We start from the raw sequence: 24030 nt of genomic DNA, 5'->3' as shown, positions 1-24030 counted from the left end.
TCCTGGGTTCAAGCGATTCTCCTGCTTCAGCCTCCTAAGTAGCTGGGACTACAGGTGCCTGCCACCACACCCAGCTAATTTTTGTATTTTTAGTAGAAATTTGGAGTTTCACATGTTGGCCAGGCTGGTCTGGAACTCCTGACCTCAAGTGATCTGCCTGCCTCAGCCTCCCAAAGTGGTGGGATTACAAGCGTGAGCCACTGCACCTGGCTCCAGTCCTCTTTTATATTCCCTTTTTTGTTTTGTTTATATTTTCTTCTGAAGATTCTTTTTGAACGGAGTTTCCTGAGTGCTTTTGTTCCCAGTAAAAATCTGTGTCTTTCAGTTTAGTTTTAACCCTTTGGGGGAGTGTTGACACTATAATGTGTTGGCTTAATTTAACAACACTGCTCACTTCCCTGAATATTTTTTCTTTCAAGGTGGGTTTTTTTTTTAAGGTTATGTGGATTATGTTTAGCATTTGAGAATTTCGTGACAACTTTGATTACCTTAAATATCGTTATTTAATAACCATGACTGCACTAGAAAACCCAGTGATGCCAAAACCACAGTAGAACCATGTTAGTGACCGTGGTTAGGGCCATTGTGGATTTAGCTGACCAAGAAGTAAGGTGTTTGAAAACTTTTTGCATATGCAATGTATAACATGAAGTATTTTTTCTTGTCTTTTTCTCCCAATTTGTAGGAGGCCCTCTTCATTGCTCGCTTCAGTCCTCCAAGCTGTGGTGTGCAGGTGAACAAGCTGTGGTACAAGCCCGTGGAACAATTCATCTTACCAGAGGTACAGGATGGCAGGAAAAGACTGTAGTACCAATGCAGTCCTTCATAGGAGTGGGCGTGTGCTTTCAGGGGCAGGCACTTGATATTTTCTTGTACCAGGGCAGCACTCCAGAGTGATAGATGAAGGTACCAACTGTGGATGGGCTAAAACATAGCACTCTGTATTCAAACCTCCTGAGGACTTCATGAGGCCTCAGAGGTTCCAAAACCACTTTTTGAAAAACATTGCATGTTTCCGTAGTTTATTTAGTGGAGTAGAGAACTACACAATTGTTTTAATGACAAAGGATGATGTTGGGTGTGGATTGATGGAAAGACCAGACAGAGATACCATTTGGGTAAAAATTAAATAATTTGCTTATCTAAAGAATGAAAAGAAAAAAAAGTCAGTGCAGACAGGTTAATGATAGAGATGGGCCATGTTTCCAAGTTAAATAAAATTTCTCCAAAGGGTGAACAGTTGTGGATGATAGCCTGAAAATGTACCTGTCACCTTCTGGGTCCCTCTAGGTCCAGTCATAACTAGATATGCACTAAAGAATGCCTCGCCTGCCAGGTGCCCTCATTAGTCCTGGAGTTAAGCCACACAGTATGGTCGCAGAGTGTGACAGAATCAGGATCAGACATAACAAATTATTCATTCATCAGCTTCAGCCTTTCTAGGCTGTTTTAGTCTAGGCCGAGTACATTCCTGAACTCAGTGCTCTGGAACCACAATCGGGGTCAGTTTCCTAGACATCTCTGGGATTCACTTTAGATCACCTATAGAGTTCATCCCGCAGCATCTCAGCTGGGTTAAGGTGTGGAGGCTAGACAACTGACCGGCCCTGGTGACTAACCAAGAAACTTTTTCCTACCCATTCTGTGGTGTGCCATTCACAATGTGTTCAGCAATAGGAACCACACATTTTTGTAACATACTATGGGTCTTTGGAATTGAGTACAAGTAGTTGAAACTATATGTTAATTCTGTCAGTGTCAAAGGGATCTCCTTTTCATTTGTATCTGAACCTCCATTTTAAAAACTTCTGAATACGCTACTCTCAGCATACTGCTTATAGGATAGCCTGCTCCGCAAAAGCAGTCAAAAAATAAATTAAAAAAAACAAAACGACTTTTAAATAAAAGCCAAACTAAAACAGGGGTGGAAAAAAAGGAAAATGCAGATATGCTAAAGGAAAACAAGACTACTAGAATCTCATATTTGGAGATAATCACATTTAACATTTTTGCTTCTATGTGTTATAGTTGCTAGGATTATGCCGTTCATTCTACTTTATAATTTACTTACTTTAACATATCACGAACATCTTTTGATGTGCTCTATTATTTGTAATGGCTATATAGAATTACATTGTATGAAAGTATTGTCATTTAACTCTGTATTTGGGTGTTGATAGAGTTTCAATTTTTCGGTGTTATGGAAAAGACTGTAGTAAATATCACCGCACCTCTGTTTTATGTGTATAACTGGTTATTTTCTTAGGATGAATTGTTGGGTCGAAGGGTATACACATTTTTAAGTCAGATGATTCCTTCCTGGAGGGGAGTTTAGCAATTTGTATCAGTGTGAACAATCATTAGCAATATATGAGAGTGCCTGTTTTCCTACATCCTTTTATTAATTTCACATATGAACTTTTTTCCTTTTTAAGTGCAGTATGTACCATCAAAGTTACCTTTTACTTCAGGAATGGTGGTTCAGGTCGGGCTCAGTGGCTCACACCTGTAATCCCAGCACTTTGGGAGGCCAAGGCGGGTGGATCACAAGGTGAGGAGTTCAAGACCAGCCTGGCCAAGATGGCAAAACCCCGTCTCTACTAAAAATACAAAAATTAGCTGGGTGCGGTGGTAGGCTCCTGTAATCCCAGTTACTCGGGAGGCTGAGGCAGGAGTATCGCTTGAACCCGGGGGACAGGTTGCAGTGAGCCAAGATTGCAACACTGCACTCCAGCCTGGGCCACAGAGAGACGCCATCTCAAAAAAAAGAATAGTGGTTCAGATACATAGTGTTGGATCTCAGTTTTTGCAGGAAGCCATTCTTTGGTTTGTTCATTCACATGAGGTGCTTAATCTCACTGTGTCTATTTCCTCCTCTAAGATGAAGGTGCTACACCACCCATTTCAGATGGTTATTCTGGGGGCTAAATGATTTAACACACGTAGACTGCTTAGAACATGCTGCCATATGCCACGCATTCAGTAGATCAATAGATGTTGTCATTATCATTATACTCCTCATCTGGATTGAGGGGGTCCTATTCTTTAAGAGCAGTGTTTCTTCACCAGGGGCAATTTGCCCTCCGCGCACAGAGCAGTGTATAGAGACACTTTCAGTTGTTAAAACTGGATGTAGGGTGATACTGGCATCTAGTGGGTAAAGGGACAGGGATTCTGCTAAACATCCTGCAGCCACAGGACACCACCCCACCCCCGCCCCAGCAAATAATTATCTGGCCCAAAATGTCATTGGTGCTGAGGTTGAGAAACTGTATTCCAAAAGAAAGTCACATGGGGTGCAGCAAAGAGGAAGAAAATGAACTTTAATGCTTCAAGCTAATCGCAGTTTTATGGAGTCTGTTCCATTATCTTGGTCAGCCTTATAGAAAGAATTGCAAATTTTGATTAGTTCATAAAAAATATTATTTTCGCTTAGAATGTCCTTGTTCTTAGGAAATACATGCTGAAATACTTAAAGTTAAAAATTCATGATATCTGTATTTTTAAGTGATCCAACAACAGAAAAGTGTGTGTGGAGAGAGAGCAAAAAGGCAAATGTGGCAAAATGTGAACAGTTGGTGAGTCTAGGTGATTTGAATGGTGATTTGAACTTTTCTATAGGTTTGAAGCTTTTCAAAATAAAAATTGGGTTGGGGGAGAGGGGTTAACCTTCCTTGCTTGTGTTCAGGATGGTATATCTGGCAGTGGGTACTAATGATGGGAAGTACTCAGCCAAAATAGTGAGTTACCTTTGTAGTTATTAAGACTTTTTTTTCCCCTAATTTTTATTTACTTATTTTTTTTTTTTTTGAGACAGGCTCTGGCTCTGCTGCCCAGGCAGGAGTCCAGTGGCATGATCATAGCTCACCGCAGCCTCAACCATATGGGCTCAAATGATTCTCCTACCTCAACCTCATGAGTAGCTGGGACTACAGGCACCTGCCACCAGACCCAACTAAATTTTTTATATCTTTTTTTTTTTTTTGAGACAGCATTTTGCTCTGTCACCCAGGCTGGAGTGCACTGGCATGATTCTGGCTCACTGCAACCTCTGCCTCCCACGTTCAAGTGATTCTCCTGCCCCAGCCTCTCAAGTAGCTGGGATTACAGGCACATGCCACCACACCGGCTAATTTTTGTATTTTTTAGTAGAGACAAGATTTTACCATGTTGGCCAGGCTGGTCTCGAACTCCTGACCCCAGGTGATCCACCTACCTTGGCCTCCCAAAGTGCTGAGATTACAGACATGAGCCACCACGCCTGGCCTAAATTTTTTATTTCTTGTACAGATGGGTGTGTCGCTATGTTGGCAGGCTGGTCTTGAACTTCTGGCCTCAAGCAATCCTCTCACCTCCCAAAGGTCTAGGATTACAGGCTTGAGCCACCACACCAGGTCTAGTTTGTTTGTTTGTTTGTTTGTTTAGAAACGGAGTCTCGCTCTGTCACCCAGGCGGGAGTGCAGTGGCATGATCTCCGCTCACTGCAACCTCTGCCTCTTGGGTTCAAGCAATTCTCCTGCCTCAGCCTCCTGAGTAGCTGGTACTATAGGCGTGTGCCATCACGCCTGGCTAATTTTTTGTATTTTTAGTACAGACGGGGTTTCACCGTGTTAGCCAGGATGGTCTTGATCTCCTGATCTCATGATCCGCCCGCCTGCCTTGGCCTCCCAAAGTGCTGGGATTACAGGCATGAGCCACTGCGCCTGGCCACCAGGTCTAGTTATTAAGAGTTTTAATGACTATAGCCTTGTGCTTTTTATCTCCCTTCAGGCTTTAGGCTAAATAGACTTGATTTTATTACCTTTATTAATTTTGTATAATATTTTTTCTTTTAAAAAACAAGCAGGCCACGTGTGGTGTCTCAGGCTTATCCTCCCAGCACTTTGGGAGGCCGAGGCGGGCAGATCATTGAGCCCATGAGTTTGAGACGACCAGCCTGGGCAACTTGATGAAACCCAGTCCCTATTCAAACAACAAAAATAACCACACACACAAAAAGCAAGCAATTATTTAATAGTGGCTATACCTGGTGGGGAGCTAAGATTATGGATGATTTTAATTTTCTTCTTTTTGTATATCTATCTTCTAAATGTTCCATAATAAACATATATTAGCTTTATATAATAGAAAGAAAAAATAAACTTTTAGCAATTAAAAAAATTCTCTCCTGTTGTACAAAATTCTATTTGTGTTGAAAATATGTTTAATTTTAAATCCTTTTTTTTACTGCATCAAGGCTGATTGGGTTTGTTTGCTCGGAAGAATGATAGTGATTGTTTGCTGGCATATCATCAGCAAAGAGTAACAGAAGAGAAGTAGGTAGTGTATTCCATTTGCGAGAGGAAGTTCATCATCGTATTCCCTCCACACTTGGTGATTGCCTGGAGTCACATGTCCCCAGTATAGCTTGTCCAGTAAGCAGGTCGCCTGTAAGGTTTTCATTGTGTAGCTCACTGAAGCATAAATCTCAGTGGGCGTCACAAGTGATTCTTCACAAGTGAAGACTACTGTGTGTTTCTCTTAAAATATTTATGTTTTGGCTGGGCGTGGTGGCTCACATCTGTAATCCCAGCACTTTGGGAGGCCGAGGCGGGTGGATCATGAGGTCAGGAAATCCAGACCATCCTGGCTAACATGGTGAAACCCCATCTCTACTAAAAATACAAAAAATTAGCCAGGTGTGGTGGCGCATGCCTGTAGTCCCAGCTACCAGAAGGCTGAGGCAGGAGAATCACTTGAACCTGGGAGGCAGAGGTTGTAGTGAGCCAAGATCATACCACTGCACTCCAGCCTGAGTGACAGAGACAGAGCGAGACTCCGTCTCAAAAAAAAAAAAAAAAAAAAAAATATATATATATATATATATATATATATATATATATATGTCTCTAATTTTATGTTGTCCTTAATGGTACAGTTGGAACCTGTAACTAATTTCAGTAAAAAGCAGACTATTTTTGTTCACCTAAGTCACTAGCGACGTTATTGTTAGCATTATGGACGCTTACATCCTTAGACAGAATTTCACTCCTGTTGCCCAGGCTGGAGTGCAATGGCTCAATCTTGGCTCACTGCAACCTCCACCTCCCAGGTTCAAATGATTCTCCTGCCTCAGCCTCCTGAATAGCTGGGATTACGAGTGCCTGCCACCACACCTGGCTAATTTTTTTTATTTTTAATACAGACAGGGTTTCACCATGTTGGCCAGGCTGGTTTTGAACTCCTGACCTCAGGTGATCCACCCACCTCGGCCTCCCAAAGTGCTGGGATTACAGGTGTGAGCCACCGTGCCCAGCCTATATCCTTATTTTTTGTGAAGGTTGAAATTCTTTATATATAGTCATTTCTCCAATCCACAAGAAGTTGTTAATGTTTATAGGCACAGAAGTACTGTATATATTTAAGCTACTCTGTTGTTTGGATGAGAAATTAGAAGCTTTATGGAAAAGAGTTGATGCGTGAAAGGAGTTACAGACAGCTTGCTTATGTTATGGGAGAGATAGATATGATATCTCATTTTTCCAACCTGTATCATGCTATTTTTTCCCAACTTTTATTTTGGTTTTTATGATCTTAGTAAGGGAATTGCCATAAACAAGTTGTTTTGGATCTTAAGAGATACCTGGCTTCATAATTGCCTTACATCAGAATAAAAAGTAGGTGTATGAGAGCAGAGGTGAGGAATAGAAATTAAACTGTGTTGTGGAGCAGAAACAGGTTTAGGAGATAGGTGGAAGATAAAGCTTCTTCCTTGCTTAGTAACAAAACAGCTGATGGGTTATTTAAGTTCCATGAGTAAGTCAAGATGATTTGGGAGGACTAGGGAATTTTTCTGGTAACACATTCAATTATTCATTGAATTTGTTTGTTGTATCATAGCCTAGTCACAGACAAAATGGAGTTGGGTGCCAGGAAGGACCCACTGTGAAATAGCATGTCACATGTCATGTCAATTGAATGGACAGTACAGAGAATTACTCGTTTTATCATCATCTTTTCTAGATTTGTAGTTTCAAGGTGAGGATTTTTATCTGGTCACTATAGTTTTTACTTTTGGTATGATTCATTATTTCCTTTTTGCTTTCCTCTTAAATATTAATCATTAGGATTTGCTACCTAGCCTTCTGTTTTATTTTACTCATTCTTCCCAGGCAATTTCATTCATTACTGCCTGTATGCTGAAGGCTGTTAAATCTATAATTACAGCCCCAGCATCTCTTGTGAACTCCAGACATGCTTTGAGTTGCCTCCTGAACTTCTCCACTTGAATGTCCCATGGGCATTCTAATGGTAACATTGTCTCCATCCCATCTGTTCTCATCGCCTGTATTTTTAATCTTGGGTAACCATCTCCTTTTCCTCAAGTCACCTAAACCAGAATCATGAGAGTTATCGTCACTCTCATGTCCAGGTACTCACCAAGTCCTATCAGTTCCTTATCCTAAGTATATATGCTATCAATCCTTCCAAACTCTATCACTATTAAAGTTTTAGAAGAAAATACATTAGCTGAATACAGAGCGATAAACTGCCTGAGGAATCCGGACTCTTGGAATATTTTTATCTGTTTTGGAGGAGGAAAAAAATATTATTTATTTTAAAAAAGGAAAGAAAGGAAGGGAAAGGTTGGGCGGTGGCTCACGCCCGTAATCCTAGCACTTTGGGAGGCTGAGGCAGGCAGATCACTAGGTCAGGAGTTCAAGACCAGCCTGGCCAACATGGTGAAACCCCATCTCTACTGAAAATACAAAAATTAGCTAGGCATGGTGGCACATTCCTGTAATCCCAGCTACTTGGGAGGCTGAGGCAGGAGAATCACTTGAACCAGGACCTGGGAGGTGGGGTTTGCAGTGAGCAGAGATCACGCCACTGCACTCCAGCCTGGGCTACAGAGTGAGACTCCGTCTCAAAAAAATAAAAATAAAAAAAAAGAAAAAGTTTATATCACTCTGTGCAGAGGGAAAAAAATGTTTATAAACCACTGACCTAGCTTATCAAATTGAATTTTGTATGGTTTCCCTATACTGCTGGCTAAAATGAGACATTATTGTAAAGTACTTTATCCCTTCATTTTAACATGAAAGTTTTTAGAGTATTAGAGGTATATCTTTCATTTAATCCTCTATACTATAGTCAATTCTGGTTGATTTTTAGTTCAACATTATTTATTCAGCAAACATTTTGAGTTGTCAGTCATGTCAGGCCAGGCTCGATGCTGGGGATGCAGTGGTTGATCAGGCAAGCTCCTTCCTGTTCTCAAGGTGTTTGTCTTCTAGTAGAGGCAGTTAGTTTAATAATAAAATAAAATAAGAAATATCAGAGTGATAAATGGTATTAATAAGATAAAACAGGTTGATGTGATAGAAGTTGGGAGTTGGAGCCTTCTGGAGGACATCTGGAGAAAGCCTCTCGGAGGAGAAGGTAGTGGAGCTGAGACCTGAGCAGGACTAAGGAGCCAGCTGTGCACAGAATTAAAAATGGGATCATGGAGAAATTAGAAGACATTAAGATTTCAATATATATCAGACCTTGGGACAGGGGGGCATAGCTCTCTCAGCTCAGAATTTAATAGTAATAATCACAAAGGAAAAGTTTGTCAGATTTGCCAAGGTGAAATTTATGGACTTCTGAATTTCAAAAATAGCATTAAGTAGCAAATGAAAAACTATTTTAGCATATAAAATGTGCACAGGATTAAGATAATTACTTTATTAAAAGCTTGCATAGATGAACAAGAAAAATAGAAAACTCAGAGGGCAGATGGCAAAGCAGCATGATAAGGCAGTCCTCAGAAGAGAACATGCAATTCATAAACATCACTAGGAATCAGAAATCCAACTAAGCCAATCTTTTTTTTTTTTTTTTAAATTCAGGCAGGGCGCCGTGGCTCATGCCTGTAATCCCAGCACTTTGGGAGGCCAGGGTGGGCAGATCACTTGAGGTCAGGAGTTCCAGACCAGCCTGGCCAACATGGCGAAACCCTGTCTCTACTAAATATCCAAAAATTAACCGGGCGTGATAGTGAGCGCCTGTAATCCCAGCTACGCGGGAGGCTGAAGCAAGAGAATCGCTTAAACCTGGAGAGTGAAGGTTGCAGTGAGCCATGATCGCACCATTGCACTCCAGCCTGGGTGGCAGAGCGAGGCTCTGTGTCAAAAACTGAAAAATAAATCCAACTAAATAAGGAATCATTTTGTAAAAATCTAGTATATTAGGTTAAACTTTTGTTTACTAGTATCCCATACCAGGGAGAATACAGTGCAGTTGTCATTCTCATACATTGCTGATAACCCTATAAATTAGTAAAAGTTGCTTTCAAAAAGCAGTTGGCGGTGTATACCAAAATCCATAAAAATATCTCTTTCTTGTCCCAGTAATTTCACTCTGGGAATGTAAGTACAAAACAAATTGTTAGGAGTAAATAAACATGTACACCAAAACATGCCTACATTATTTTAGTAGATACTTAGTAGATATTTTAGTAGACATTTAGTAGCAACCAAATGTCTAATAGTAGGGGAAAATGAGTAAATCAGGGTGTATCTGCTCATTGGGATGTTATACACACATGAGGAAGAATGGCTGTGACAGCTGCAACAACATAAGGAAATGCTTTTGATACAATGGGAAATGGCAAACAGCAGTATGCAAAATTGTGTATATACTCTTTGTAATTGGTTTTTTATATGTGCATGGAAAAAACGGTCAAGGATACACACCAAACGCTAACAGTGGTATGTCAGAGTTATGGGGTGAAAATTTTAAATGATACGTTTTGGGAAAAATTTTCTCTAAAAATCTTGCCTGAAAGCATACTTAAAACCTAAATGACAGCAATAAGGAAATTGACTCACTATTCATCTTTCTACAAAAGAGCTTTGAAGGTACAATCGTGTGGGAGAGCCAAGACCTCCACGGCCTTGTGTCAAGAAATCTCCACAAAGTGACAGTGAATGATGGAGGGGGAGTTCTCAGAGTCATTACAGTAAGTCGTTTTTTTTTAAGGTTTAATTGCATATTTTAGCTTCTTTTTAATATATAAAATTGTTCTAAAATTTACCTTAGAGCCCAGGCAGCATGGAGCAATGATTCTTGTGTGTTTTACAACATATATAGTAGCAAATGTTGTTGTCTTCATAGTAAAGGCAAAAACTCAAATATGATCCTGTAACTCCAGCATTAGTGAGTTTACAGTTTTGCTTTAAGATTGATGCATTTTTAAAATGCAATATTTTATTTCTCTTTTTTTTTTTTTTTTTGAGAGGGTCTCACTTTGTTGCACAGGCTGGGGTGCACTAGCACGATCACAGCTCACTGCAGCCTCCACCTCCTGGCTTAAACAATCCTCCCATGTAGCTGGGGCTACAGGTGCGCACCACTACACCCAGCTAACTTTTTGTGTTTTTTGTAGAGATGGGGTTTCACCATGTTGCCTAGGCTGGTTGCAAACTTCTGGGCTCAAGTGATCCGCCCACCTACGCTTCCCAAAGTGCTGTATTACAGGCATGAGCCACTGCACCTGGCCTATTTCTCAGTAATTTTTAAGTTAGCATTCTTTAAGAATACTTGCTCAGTAGTATTCAGAGTATTTACTATCTCACCTTGAAAATAAAACCTCAGTTAAAATACTATAATTAGCCAGGTGCGGTGGCTCATGCCAATAATCCCAGAACTTTAGGAGGCTGAGGCAGGTGGATCACTTGAGGCCAGGAGTTTAACACCAGCCTGGGCAACATAGCAAGACCCCATCTGTACTAAAAATACAAAAACTTAGCCAGGCATGGTGGCGCATGCCTGGAATCCCAGCTACTCAGGTGGCTGAGGCATGAGAATTGCTTGAACCTAGGAGGCAGAAGTTCCAGTGAGCTGAGATCACACCACTGCACTCCAGCCTGGGTGGCAGAGTGAGACTCTGTCTCAAAACAAACAAACAAACAAAAAAAACTACTATAGATAAAAATATTGGAAAATAAGGCGGGGTGTGCTGGCTTATGCCTGTAATCCGAGCACTTTGGGAGGCTAAGGTGGGTGGACCACTGGAGGTCAGGAGGTCAAGACCAGCCTGGCCAACATGGTGAAACCCCGTCTCTACTAAAAATCCAAAAAAAAAAAAAATTAGCTGGGCCTGGTGGTGCATGCCTGTAATCCTAGCTACTTGGGAGGCTGAGGTGGGAGGATTGCTTGAACCCCAGAGGTGGAGGTTGCAGTGAGCCAGGATCATGCCACTGCACTCCAACCTGGGCAACAGAGCGAGACTCCATCTCAAAACAAAACAAAAAAAAATAGAAAATAAGATTGAGTACTTTCATTTATTTTGCTGAAGCAACTCTGGGATTTCTGACTCTCATATTTCTCATTCGGCTTTGCTTTAAATTTAAAACAGTTTGACAGGTGAATTTCTCAAAGTAAATATAGGTCAATAAAGCAGGTATATGAAGACTTAAAATGAACTTTAGTAAACAAACGGTCTGTACGGTGGAATCATAGACAATCTTTTATTCTCCTCGATCTCCTGTCCAATGATTAGGAATGTACTTGGCATTTAAATTCACAAGCTTAGTGAATGAATATTAACCTCATTTACATGGATTAATTTCTGAGTTGAAATGAATATATGCTACGTTATTACTCATTCAAAAAACATTTCCTGCATACCTGTGGTAAGGCAGAAACAATGGCAGGGTAAAATAGACATACTAGTGGCCCACCGTGGAACTTACAGTCCAGTGAGGAAGAAAGACATTAAACAAATAGACCCATAGATTCATATGTAGTTATACATTTAGATTTGTAGGCCATGTTTAGGATTTCATTCATGTTTAGGATTTAGGATTTATTATGACAGGTAAATTTCATAAAGTAAATGGAGGACAATAAAGATGGTGTTTACTTTAGTAAACACACACACCACTTGTTTACTAAAGTTCATTTTAAGTCTTATGAAAAATTTTTTACTGAAAATAGAAAGTTTTATGGAATTATATCTTTCCTTATTATCTTGCCTCCTTTTCTATTTATGAAACTTTAAAATACCCAGCATATGCCAAAATTCTGTAATATTGGTTACACTAAAAGAAATAAATTGGCCGGGCGCGGTGGCTCACGCCTGTAATCCCAGCACTTCGGGAGGCTGAGGTGGGAGGATCACGAGGTCAAGAGATCAAGACCAGCCTGGCCAACATGGTGAAATCCCGTCTCTACTAAAAATACAAAAATTAGCTGGCTGTGGTGGCGGGTGCCTGTAGTCCCAGCTACTCGGAAGGCTGAGGCAGGAGAATTGCTTGAACCCAGGAGGTGGAGGTTGCAGTGAGCCAAGATCGCGCCACTGCACTCCAGCCTGGCTACAGTGCGAGACTCCGTCGCAAAAAAAAAAAAAAAAAAAAAGGTAGGTTTCTGAGTTGAGAACTAGGTTCAAATGTAAAGACTCAAATGATCTGCCTTTGGGAGTAAAAATTATTATAGAGGGCTAAAGATAGCTTAAACATACAGTTAACCTAAAAAAACAAAAACAAAACCAGGTAACTTTTTAAAGCCTACGCTAAGAAACCCCAGGTACAAATTAAGATTTTCATCACAAATGCGTACAGCTGAGAGTTTTCACTAAGCTTTATTCCCTTGCCAGCAAGTGATGTCAGAAAAATTTTAAAGGCAAAAAGCCAAGTTGTGACCTTTTAGAGAGAAGTTAATAAACAGAAATTACTATTGAGTTCTAAAGCCAAAACAATATAGAAATATACAATAAAAAATAAAGCATAGGCTGGGTGCTGTGGCTCACGCCTGTAATCCCAGCATTTTGGGAGGCTGAGTTGGGCAGATCACCTGAAGTCAGGAGTTCGAGACCAGCCTGACCAACATGGTGAAACCCCGTCTCTACTAAAAATATAAAAATTAGCCAGGCGTGATGGCTAATGCCCGTAATCCCAGCTACTCAAGAGGCTGAGAAAGGAGAATCACTTGAACCCGGGAGGCAGAGGTTGCAGTGAGCCAAGATCACGCCATTGCACTCCAGCCTGGGCGACAAGAGTGAAACTCCATCTCAAAAAACTAAATAAGTAGGCCGGGCGCGGTGGCTCACACCTGTAATCCCAGCACTTTAGGAGGCCGAGACAGGCGGATCACCTGAGGTCAGGAGTTCGAGACCAGCCTGGCCAACATGGTGAAACCCCGTCTCTACTAAAAATACAAAAATTAGCCAGGTGTGCTGGCAGGCGACTGTCAGCTACTTGAGAGGCTGAGGCAAGAGAATCGCTTGAACCCCCGAGGCAGATGTTGCAGTGAGCCGAAATCACGCCATCGCACTCCAGCCTGGGGGACAAGAGCAAGACTTCGTCTCAAAAAAAAAAAAAAAAAAGTAAATAAGTAAATAACAAATAAAGCATATACAGTCTTTTATGGAACTACAACGTTGGAATCTATAGCCTGCCCCTTTAGTAATTTTCACATTTGGCTACGAACTTTTATTTTATTTTATTTTATTTATTTTTTTGAGATGGAGTCTCACTCTGTCACCCAGGCTGGAGTACAGTGGCACAGTCTTGGCTCACTGCAATCTCCTTCTCCCAGGTTCAAGTGATACTCCTGCCTCAGCCTCCAGAGTAGCTGGGATTATAGGCACACACCACCATGCCTAGCTAATTTTTCTGTATTTTTAGTAGAGACAGGGTTTCACCGTATTAGCTAGGATGGTCTTGATGTCTTGTCCTCGTGATCCGCCCGCCTCCGCCTCCCAAAGTGCTGGGATTACAGGTGTGAGCCACTGCGCCTGGCCTACAAACATATTTTAAATTAAATGACAAGTTACTACAGTGACCTCAGATTACTTGTTCTACTGGCCTTAAAACATTGCTTTGTACAGTACAACTCTGAAAAGATCTGTTTAAGAATAGCCAAGCAGTAGCTCTCTTGATTAAATGAAGGTGTAGAAAAAATACTGTAAATACACTGAGTATGGACTCTTAACTGTCTGATCTAGCCCACAACAGCCAGACAATACTCTGGTAGATGTACCATAGTGGTTTACTGTATACAGAAGTAAAACAGTTCACTCTGAGTAAGGCCATTGGGTAACTTTTGAAGAGAGATAACTCTTTAATAATAAAAGATTCTCCATTCTAAGAAGTAGAAAGGACTGTCATTGGCTGCTGGCACAATAGGCTTAAGCACCTTCAACAACATCAACAGGCTGGGCACAGTGGCCCACACCTGTAATCCCAGCACTTTGGGAGACCGAGGCGGGAGGATCACTTGAGCCCAGGAGTTCAAGACCAGCCTGGGCAGCACAGTGAGACCTCTTCTCTACAAAAAATTTATAAATATTAGCTGGGCATGGTGGTGCACACCTGTAGTGCTAGCTGCTTGTAAGGCTGAGATGGGAAGATTGTATGTTCAAGGCTAGAATGAGATATCATTGCACCACTGCACTCAGCCTGAGCATCAGAGTGAAACCCTGTCTGTAAAATGAAATTAGGCCGGGTGTGGTGGCTCACGCCTGTAATCCCAGCACTGTGGGAGGCTGAGGCAGGCGGATCACCTGAGGTCAGGAGTTCGAGACCAGCCTGACCAATATGGTGAAACACTGTCTCTTATTTGAAAAAAAAAAAAAAAGAAAAATTAAAAATTAAAAAAAAATTTTTTTTTAATCAATATACAGTAGAGTTCAATTTGAATATTTGGAACAGACTGTTAATTTTGAGCCTTTCTCTGCATGGTCTCTTAACTTTAAAGCATGCCAAGATGTATTTGAACTCATGAGAATTTTTAGTTTCCAAAAAATCAAAGGTCGTAATACATATTTTTTTAAGTGGTGGGGTTGGGATGTAAAATCAATTGCTTTTTGTACTACTAGAGTAGCAAGTACATAAACATGATTCTATGTAAGTTGCAATTCTGAACACCTTATGGAATGTTGGGTATATCTTATCTTTAGTATTGTAATTAGATAACAAAAATAGTAGAATACCGTATGTCATCCTGATATTATAAGCCTCCAGTGCACCAGCATCTTACATGCATTTATCTGCTGCAAGTGGAGTCATATTATGATTTTTGTCAAATCGATTTTAAAATATGATCAGTGTATTTTTAGTAATGAATCACTGAGTACATTCTTATTCCTTTCAGGCTGGGGAGGGTGCATTGCCTCATGAATTCTTGGAAGGTGTGGAGGGAGTTGCAGGTGGTTTTATATATACTATTCAGGGTAAGTTTGCTAGTTGAAACTTGAAAAGTACACTGAATGTCTTATACTTAATCTTTATACTTGAGAGAAAAGGATTTTTTCTTTTTTGTCTTTTAAAAAACTTTATTCAGATAAAATTCACCCTTTTAAAGTGGTTCAGTGGTTTTAGTGTATTCTTAGAGTTCTACAACCGGCTCCACCTCCCAAAAGGAAACCCCACACCCATTAGCAGTTACTCCTCATTCTTACCTCCCCAACCCCCCACCCCCTAACAACTACTGATGCACTTTCTTTCTCTATGGATTTGCCTGTTTTGAACATTTCACATAAATGGAAATGCACAGTACGTACTCTGTGTGTCAGTTTCTTTGCTGTAACATGTGTTCCAGGTCTGTCCATTTTGTATGTATCAGTACTTCTTTTTTATGATCATATAATATTCTATTGCATCGATATGCCCTATTTTATTCATTCATTAATGGATGGACATTTAGATTGCTTCTACTTTTTGAATATGAATAATTCTGTAGTAAACATGTAGGTACAAGTTTTTGTGTGGTCATATATTTCCATTTCTCTTAAATGTCTAGGAGTAGAAGACCTGGGTCATATAATTGTGTGTTTAATCACTTGAGGCACTGCCAGGTTGTTTTCTAAAGCAGCAGCCCACTTTACATTTCCATAGTCAGTATATGAGGATTCTAGTTTCTCCATATTCTTGTCAACACTTAATAAATTGTCTGTCTTTTAAAATATACCAATCCTAGTGGGTGTAAATTGTTATTTCATTGTGATTTTTATTCGTATTTCCATAATAACTAATGATGTTGAGCATTTTCTTCATGTGCTTATTGGCCATTTGTATATCTTCCTTTTTTGTTTCGTTGTTTTTCTTTTTTTCTGAGACGAGGCCTCACTCTGTTGCCCAGGCTGGAGTGCAGTGGCATGATCACAGCTCACTGTAGCCTTGACCTCCCCGGGCTCAAGTGAACTTCCCATTTCAGCCTCCCGAATAGCTGGGACTACAAGTGCATGCCACCATGCCCAGCTAATTATTAAATGTTTTGTAGAGACAGGGTTTTGTCATATTGCTGAGGCTGCACACTGTTAACAGGGTGAATTATTATGGTATATGAACTAGATGTGGGAAGTGAGGGAGGGAGGAGGGGGAGGAAGTGAGGGAGGAAGGGGTGGAGAGAGGGAGAAGGTGGTGAGGGAGGGAGGGGTGGAGGGAAGAAGGGAGGAAAGGAGGGGAGAGAGAGTCATTTGTATATCTTTAGAGAAATATCTATTCAGATCCTTTGCCCATTTATAAAATTATTTTATTGTTGAATTGTAAGAGTTCTTTATATATGCTGGATACAAGTCCCTTATCAGATACATGCTTTGCAAATGGTGCCCTTTAACACACAAAAGTTGTAAATTTTGATGAAGTCCAATTTTGTCACATGTTTTTGCTGTCATATGTAAGGAACTATTGTCTAATGTGAGGTCACAAAGATTTGTGCCTTTGTTTTACAGTTCCAAGAGTTTTATAGTTTTAGCACTTATACGTAGGTCTTGGATCCATGTTCATTTTCATATATGGCATGAAATAGAGGTTTAACTTCATTCTTTTGCATGTGGATATCCAGTTGTCCCAGCACCCATTTGTTGAAAATCAGTGACTGTAGATGTAAGGATTTACTTGAGGACTCTCAATTCTATTCCATTGATCTATGTGTCTGCGTCTTTAACCAGTACTACACTGTCTTGATTATGTAGCTTTTTAGTAAGATTTGAAATTGGGAGGCTGGGCACGGTGGCTCACTCCTGTAATCCCAGCACTTTGGGAGCCCGAGGCAGGTGGATCACGAGGTCAGGAGTTCGAGACCAGCCTGACCAACATGGTGAAACCCTGTCTCTACTAAAAATACAAAAAAATTAGCCAGGCATGGTGTCGGGCGCCTGTAATCCCAGCTACTCCAGAGGCTGAGGCAGAAGAATCGCTTGAACCTGGGAGGCAGAGGTTGCATTGAGCTGAGATTGCCACTGCATTTCATCCTGGGTGACAGCAAGACTCCGTCTCAAAAAAAAAAAAAAAAAAAAAAGAAATTAGGAAATGTGAATCCTCCAACCTTGTTCTTTTTCAAGCTTGATTGGCTATTCTGGGTCTCTTGCACTTCCATATGAATTTTATGATCAGCTTGTTAATTTGTGCAAAAAAAAAAAAGAAAACCTAGCTGGAATGTTTTAAGGGATTGCATATATATATATGCATATATATGAATAAATATATAATTTCAATCGGTTTTGGGGGAGCAGGTGGTGTTTGATTACATGAATAAGTTCTTTAGCGGTGATTTCTGAGATTTTGGTGCACCCATCACCCAAGCAGTGTACACTGTAACCAGTGTGTAGTCTTATTCCTACCCCCTCCCACCCTGTCCCCACCAAGTCCCCAAAGTCCATTGTATCATTCTTATGCCTTTGCATCCTCATAGCTTAGCTCCCACTTATGAGTGAGAACATACGATGTTTGGATTTCCATTCCTGAGTTACTTTACTTAGAATAATGGCCTCCAACTGCACGCAGGTGCTGTGAATGCCATTATTTTGTTTCTTTTTATGGCTGAGTAGTACTCCATGGTATATATATATATACCACATTTTCTTTACTCATTGATTGATGGGCATTTGGGCTGGTTCCATATTTTTGCAGTTGCAAATTATGCTGCTATAAACATGCATGTGCAAGTATCTTTTTCATATAATGACTTACTTTCCTAATGGGATCGCTGGATCAAATGGTAGATCTACCTTTAGTTCTTCAAGGAATCTCCACACTGTTTTCCATAGTGGTTGTACTAGTTCACATTCCCATCAGGGATTGCATTCTATCTGTGGATCAACCTGGGGAGTATTGCCGTGTTAACAGTATTAAGTCTTTGAACATCCATGTCTTATTAAATTTCCTTCAATGATGTTTGATTTTTCAGTATAAAAGTCTTGCACTTCTTTTGTTAAATTATTAAATACTTATGTTATCTTTTTGATGCTGTTGTAAGTGGAATTGTTTTTCTAATTTAATTTTAAGATTGTTCATTGCGAGTATATAGACATACAGATTGTTTTTGTGATTGATCTGTGTGCTGCAACATTGCTGAACAGATCCATGTATTTATTACTTAATCATTTTAAAGTTAGACCTTATGATTTTCTACATGCAAGGTCATTTCATCTGTAAGAAGAGAGAGTTTTGCTTCTTCCTTTTCAATCTGGATGCCTTTTTTCTTATCTGATTGTCCTGGCTAGAACATGTATGTTGAATAGAAGTGGCAAAAGCAGACATCCTTTCATTTTCCTGACATATTAATTTATGCTCATATTTTTCAGATACATGCAGTGAAACAAAATGTGTTACTAGTCTAAAAGGCTTGTATTTAATTTCTGCACTCCTGTTGTTACAAGCCATTTTCCTGTTACAATTTTATAACACTTTCACTTTCCATCAAGTGTTAAATTATACAGATGCTCCTTGACTTACAATGTTACATCCTGTTGAACCCATGTTAAGTTAAAAATGTATGTTGAAAATGCATTTCATACACTTAGCCTGCCGAATGTTATAGCTTAGCCTCACCTACCTTAAACTTGCTCAGGACACTTACATTAGCCCACAGTTGGGCAAAATAATCTAACACAAAGCCTATTCCATAATAAAGGTTGAACATCTCACAAGACTGTAGTCACATGAGAAACAGAATGGTTGCATATGTACTCAAAGCATGGTTTCTGGTGAACACATATTGTTTTTACATTATCGTAAAGTCCAAAAATTGTAAGTCTAAACAGGAGGTCAGGCCAGGTGCAGTAGCTCAATGCCTGTAATCCCAGCACTTTGGGAGGCCAAGGCAGGTGGATCACGAGGTCAGGAGTTCGAGACCAGCCAGACCAACATGGTGAAACCCCATCTATACTAAAAATACAAAAATTAGCTAGGCATGGTGGCGCACGCCTGTAATCCTAGCTACTCGAGAGGCTCAGGTAGGAGAATCGCTTGAACCTGGGAGGCAGAGGTTGCAGTGAGCCGAGATAGCGCTACTGCACTCCAGCCTGGGTGACAGAGTGAGACTCCATCTCAAAAAAAAAAAAAAAAAAAAAAAAAAACAGGAGGTCATCTACCCCTGTGTTTCTCAAAGGCTGGTCTGTGTTCTGCCTACCTGCATCAGGGTCGCAGCAGTGGCCATTAAAAATATAGATTCCTGGGAGCAGGTGCAGAAGGAAAAAAAATAGATTCCTGGGCTCCACCCCAGACCTACTGAATCTTTAGGCTTGGGGCCCAGGAATCTGCATTTCAGCAAGCATTCCCAAGAATCACTGATTGAATCCAGCACCATTTTCTACAGGTGAGACTGCTGTGGTCTAGAGACAACAGAACTTGTCCAGTATCTCACAAGTCATGAGAGGCAGAAGTCAGATATAGGCCTTCAGCTTCCCACCTCATCCTTTCCATTTGCAGTGACAAAGAGTGCAGTGCTAAATTGTATTTCATTTCCTTTGCCACCCTCAGCAGCTCATTTTCTTTGTATTTTTCAAAATTTTTCTTTAATTTGATTGAGACATTTTTAGGAAATCCTGACGTCTCCTGCCACAGCGAAAGAATTGCCTTAAATCAGTAGGATCTGGGGACAGTCCCTGCACACGTGACAAGTGACTCATTAACTTGTGAAGTGGCAAATAAATTGTCTTTTAAGCACATTAGTAATCATTTTTATTATGAAATATCATGGCCAGGCATAGTGGCTCTCGCCTGTAGTCCCAGAACTTTGGGAGGCTCCCAGAAACTTGGGAGGCAAGAGGATCTCTTGAGCCCAGGATTTAGAGACCAGCCTGGACAACATAGCGAGACCCCATCTCTACAAAAAACTTGAAAATTTCCTGGGTATGGTGACAGGTGCCGGGAGTACCAGCTACTTGGGAAGCTGAGGTGGGAGGATCACTTGAGCCCAGGAAGTTGAGGCTGCAGTAAGCTATAATTACACCACTGCATTCTAGCCCGGGTGATAGAACAAGACCCTGTCTCAAAAAAAAAAAAACAAAGGAAATAATCATAAATACACCAGAAATAGTACAGAAACAGCCAGGTACCCAGTGCTCAGAATTAACAATTTTTTATTTACATTTTTTCTTATTCATTTCTAATTTTTTTTTTTTTTTTTTAAATAAAACATGGCCAGGCACAGTCGCTCATGCCTGTAATCTTAGCACTTTGGGAGGCTGAGGCAGGTGGATCACCTGAGGTTAGGAGTTCGAGACCAGCCTGGCCAACATGGCAAAACCCTGCCTCTTGTTACAAACAATTTTTACAATTGTTTGTAAAAATACAAACAATTAGCTGGGCACAGTGGCAGGCGCCTGTAATCCCAGCTACTCATGAGGGAGGCTGAGACAGGAGAATGCTTGAACCCGGGAGGTGGAGATTACAGTGAGCTGAGATCGTGCCATTGTACTCCAGTCTGTGCAACAGAGTGAGACTGTGTCTCAAAAACAAAAAAGAAAGAGGAAAGAAAGAAAACATTATATGCCTGGTGCAGTGGCTCACGCCTGTAATCCCAGCACTTTGGGAGGCTGAGGCAGGTGGATCATTTGAGGTCAGGAGTTCGAGACCAGCTGGCCAACATGGTGAAACTCCGTCTCTACTAAAAATACAAAAATTAGCCGGGCGTGGTAGCTAACACCTGTAATCCCAGCTACTCGGGAGGCTGAGGCAGGAGAATCACTTGAATCTGGGAGGTGGAGGTTGCAGTGAGCCAAGATCATGCCATTGCACTCCAGCCTGGGCAACAGAGTGAGACTCTGTCTCAAAAAAAGAAAAAAAAGAAAACATTGTAGGTACAGTTGAAACCTTTTCCTTGTGGTTCTCCCTAGATGTATTCCTCTTCCCTCTCCTCAAAGGGGGTGCCACTTCCCTAAAATTCATGTGTACCCTTCCCATTCTTATTTTTCTACTTTGAACATATTTACGTCTCTTTATTTATTTATTTATTTGAGACAGGGTCTCGCTGTGTTGCCTAGGCTGGATGGAGTTCAGTGGTGTAATCATAGCTCACTGCAGCCTTGAACTCCTGGGCTCCAGGGATCCTCCTGCCTTGGCCTCCCAAGAAGCTGGGACCAGAGGCATGCACCACTATGCCTGGCTAATTTTTAAATTTTATTTAGAGATGGGGTCTCCCTATATAACCTAGAGTGATCTCAAACTCCTGGGCTTAAGCGATTCTCCTCCCTCGGCTTCACGGAGTGCTGGGATTACAGGCATAAGCCACCACGCCTGACCATGTCTTTAAATAACATAGTTTTGAGTGTTTTATAATTGATATCTGTGGTGTCATATTGTATTTATCACTTGGCAATTTTCACTCAACTTTATTTTTTCATCCCAATCCTTTTAACATGCAAGATCAGGGTAATTTTTTTAACTGCTATATTTCATTATGTGAATATACCACAACTTGGCTGTTTTTTTTTTTTCTCTCAGTGGACATTTAGGTTGGTCCCATTTTTCTTCCACAATTACAAACAATGCTGTAATTAATATCCTCATGTGAAATAATGTTAGTAGGGATATATCTACAAGTGGCCTCAACTGAACCATAAGGTGTACACATTTTCAGCCTAAATAGATATTGCCAAATTGCTTTCCAGAGTGGGAGCATCCACTTAATCCTACTGGCAGTGTATGAGAGTTCCCATTTTTCTACCTAAAGTTCCAAACAACTGCATGTGTTTCTGCTGGGTTACCTTGGGAAAAGAACTTTAGTGTACATCATCAGTTCTGAATGGTAACTTTACAACAGCATTTTTCTCCAACTCTCAACTTTTCCTTTATAGAAGGTGATGCTCTCTTACACAACCTTCATTCTCGCCCTCAAAGACTTATTGATCATATAAGGAATCTCCATGAGGAAGATGCCTTACTGAAGGAGGAAAGCAGCATCTATGATGATATTGTTTTTGTGGATGTTGTCGACACTTATCGTAATGTTCCTGCAAAATTATTGAACTTCTATAGATGGTAGGTTGTAAAAATGTTGGGTAGCTAGAACTTGTTTTATTGTTAGTTTTTTTTTTTTTGAGATGGGGTCTTACTAGGCTGTAAGGAAACCCCTTACTAGGGGTTTCCTAGGCTGGTCTTGAACTCCTGAGTGCAGGCAAACCTCCTGCCTTAGCCTCCTGAGTAGGTAAGATTACAGGCACATGACACTGTGCCTTATTGTTCTTTTGCTATCGAGACAATTTATCAACTTCAAACCACTGAGATTTCAGCAAATAAAAACAAACCTAAGGACACTGAGCACCTGGGATATGACCTATTGTATCCCAGTTCCTTGCGAAAACTGAGCTTCTAAGATGCTGCCACTTTATTTTGATAAAGATCCACAATGTGATATTAACCTATCAAAAACACGGCAAAAATTGGCTGGTGGCTTATGCCTGCCGGCAGCACTTTGGGAAGCCAAGGCAGGCAGATCACTTGAGATCTGGAGTCTGAGACCAGCCTGGCCAACATGGTGAAACCCTGTTTCTACTAAAAATACAAAAATTAGCCAAGTGTGGTGGCGAGCGCCTATAATGCCAGCCACTCAGGGGGGCTGAGGCATGAAAATCACTTGAACCCAGAAGGCGGAGGTTGCAGTGAGCCAAGATCACACCACTGCACTCCAGCCTGGGCAGCAGAGTGAGACTCCGTCTCAAAAAAAAAGAAAAAAAAAAAAAAAGTTGATTCATTTTGAGTCATTTCTGCTTGCCTCGGTTGTCTCAAGCCAGCATTAGATAAAAATCAGTGAGTTTGGGAATGGTCCATTTTTAGTTGTATTTATACCCACCTACCCAGATTCCCCAGTTATAGTCACTCACATTTAGGTTACTGATAGGCATTCTCTTCTACTGAATATCCACCTTATACTTCCAGTCTCTACTCCATCCGTTTAAAAACTACCTCCCTGATTCTAAAACTCTTATGTGGCTGGCTTACTAAAATTCCACAACTCCCAGAATCTATCATATTTATAATTTCCCAGACCCTCCAGTGTTTCTTGGAACTTACTTTTAATTCCTACTTTTATAACAAGAATAACAGCAACAATATATAATAATAGTAACATACATATTATATATCTATATAATCTTAACGTATAGTTATTAGAATTATTAGTTACTCTAGGATCTCAAAATTTTATGTTGAGTTTCCTGGTACTGTCTGTCCTGACCATGGAGCCAAAACTTTCAAACCTATCTCTGATTAGGCCAAACCTATAAAGGGTATTCACTTTTTATTTTTTTCACTTTTATTTTTAAAAACCTTCTTCTGTTCCTTGGTGTGAGGCCCAGGGTCTGTCTCTTTCTTTTCTTCTCTGTTGCCCTAGGCAGAGTGGGAAGTTACCAAGAACAGTACTTTACGGATACAGTTCCCTGGTCCTGAGGGGTAGATGGTCTAATTGGTTTATGGAAGGTAATGTTTCTTAGCTGGGGCAAATTATTTATTTATTTATTTATTTATTTATTTTTTAATAGAAATGAGGTCTCAAGCAGTCTTCCTGCCTTGGCCTCCCAAAGTGCTGGGATTATAGGCGTGAGCCACCACACCTGGCCTGCTGGGGCAAATTAATATAATTTGGGACTCATCCTGTGAGTAGAGAGCAGAGGTAAATGAGGGTTGGAAATCTGGGTGTGTCGAATACTAGGTTAAGTTTAGGCAGCTGTAGTAAGAAAAAGAACCTCCTTTTAATTTGGGGCCGCAAATGAGAGTTGCAATTGTAGGTGAGGCTGAGATGAGGAATGGGCATGGAAGTCCCGAGGGTGGGAAGTCAGGG

General features: G+C 40.6%; 1 protein-coding gene across 8 annotated transcripts in view, besides 1 other annotated feature; it reads left to right on the top strand.

Moving 5' to 3' along the window:
* The window catches only part of B3GALNT2 (beta-1,3-N-acetylgalactosaminyltransferase 2), a 64657-nt gene that overhangs the window by 23618 nt on the left and 17009 nt on the right, over nucleotides 1-24030 (top strand). For 3 of the 8 annotated variants that reach the window (XM_006711749.4, NM_152490.5, XM_017000394.2), the window contains 4 exons: nucleotides 686-781; nucleotides 9875-9985; nucleotides 15121-15199; nucleotides 22049-22232. In XM_006711749.4, coding sequence (XP_006711812.1) covers nucleotides 686-781; nucleotides 9875-9985; nucleotides 15121-15199; nucleotides 22049-22232 — 470 coding nt within the window. Of the gene's footprint in view, nucleotides 1-685; nucleotides 782-9874; nucleotides 9986-15120; nucleotides 17378-22048; nucleotides 22233-24030 lie in introns of those variants that run through there. The other 5 variants (XM_047447005.1, XM_047447002.1, XM_047447003.1 and 2 more) reach the window with 4 other exon arrangements.
* Nucleotides 3883-4382: an enhancer, noted in NCBI's record as "H3K27ac hESC enhancer chr1:235639769-235640268 (GRCh37/hg19 assembly coordinates)". NCBI's record gives its function as "activates a minimal SCP1, AML or CMV promoter by ChIP-STARR-seq in primed H9 embryonic stem cells {active_cell/tissue: H9 hESC(primed)}" and the evidence as "EXISTENCE:reporter gene assay evidence [ECO:0000049][PMID:30033119]".

The sequence above is a fragment of the Homo sapiens genome, chromosome 1 (genome assembly GCF_000001405.40).
Source record: "Homo sapiens chromosome 1, GRCh38.p14 Primary Assembly".
Classification (NCBI taxonomy): domain Eukaryota; kingdom Metazoa; phylum Chordata; class Mammalia; order Primates; family Hominidae; genus Homo; species Homo sapiens.
The sequence above is the reverse complement of the archived record's forward strand: the minus strand, read 5'-3'. Positions and strand labels throughout refer to the sequence as shown.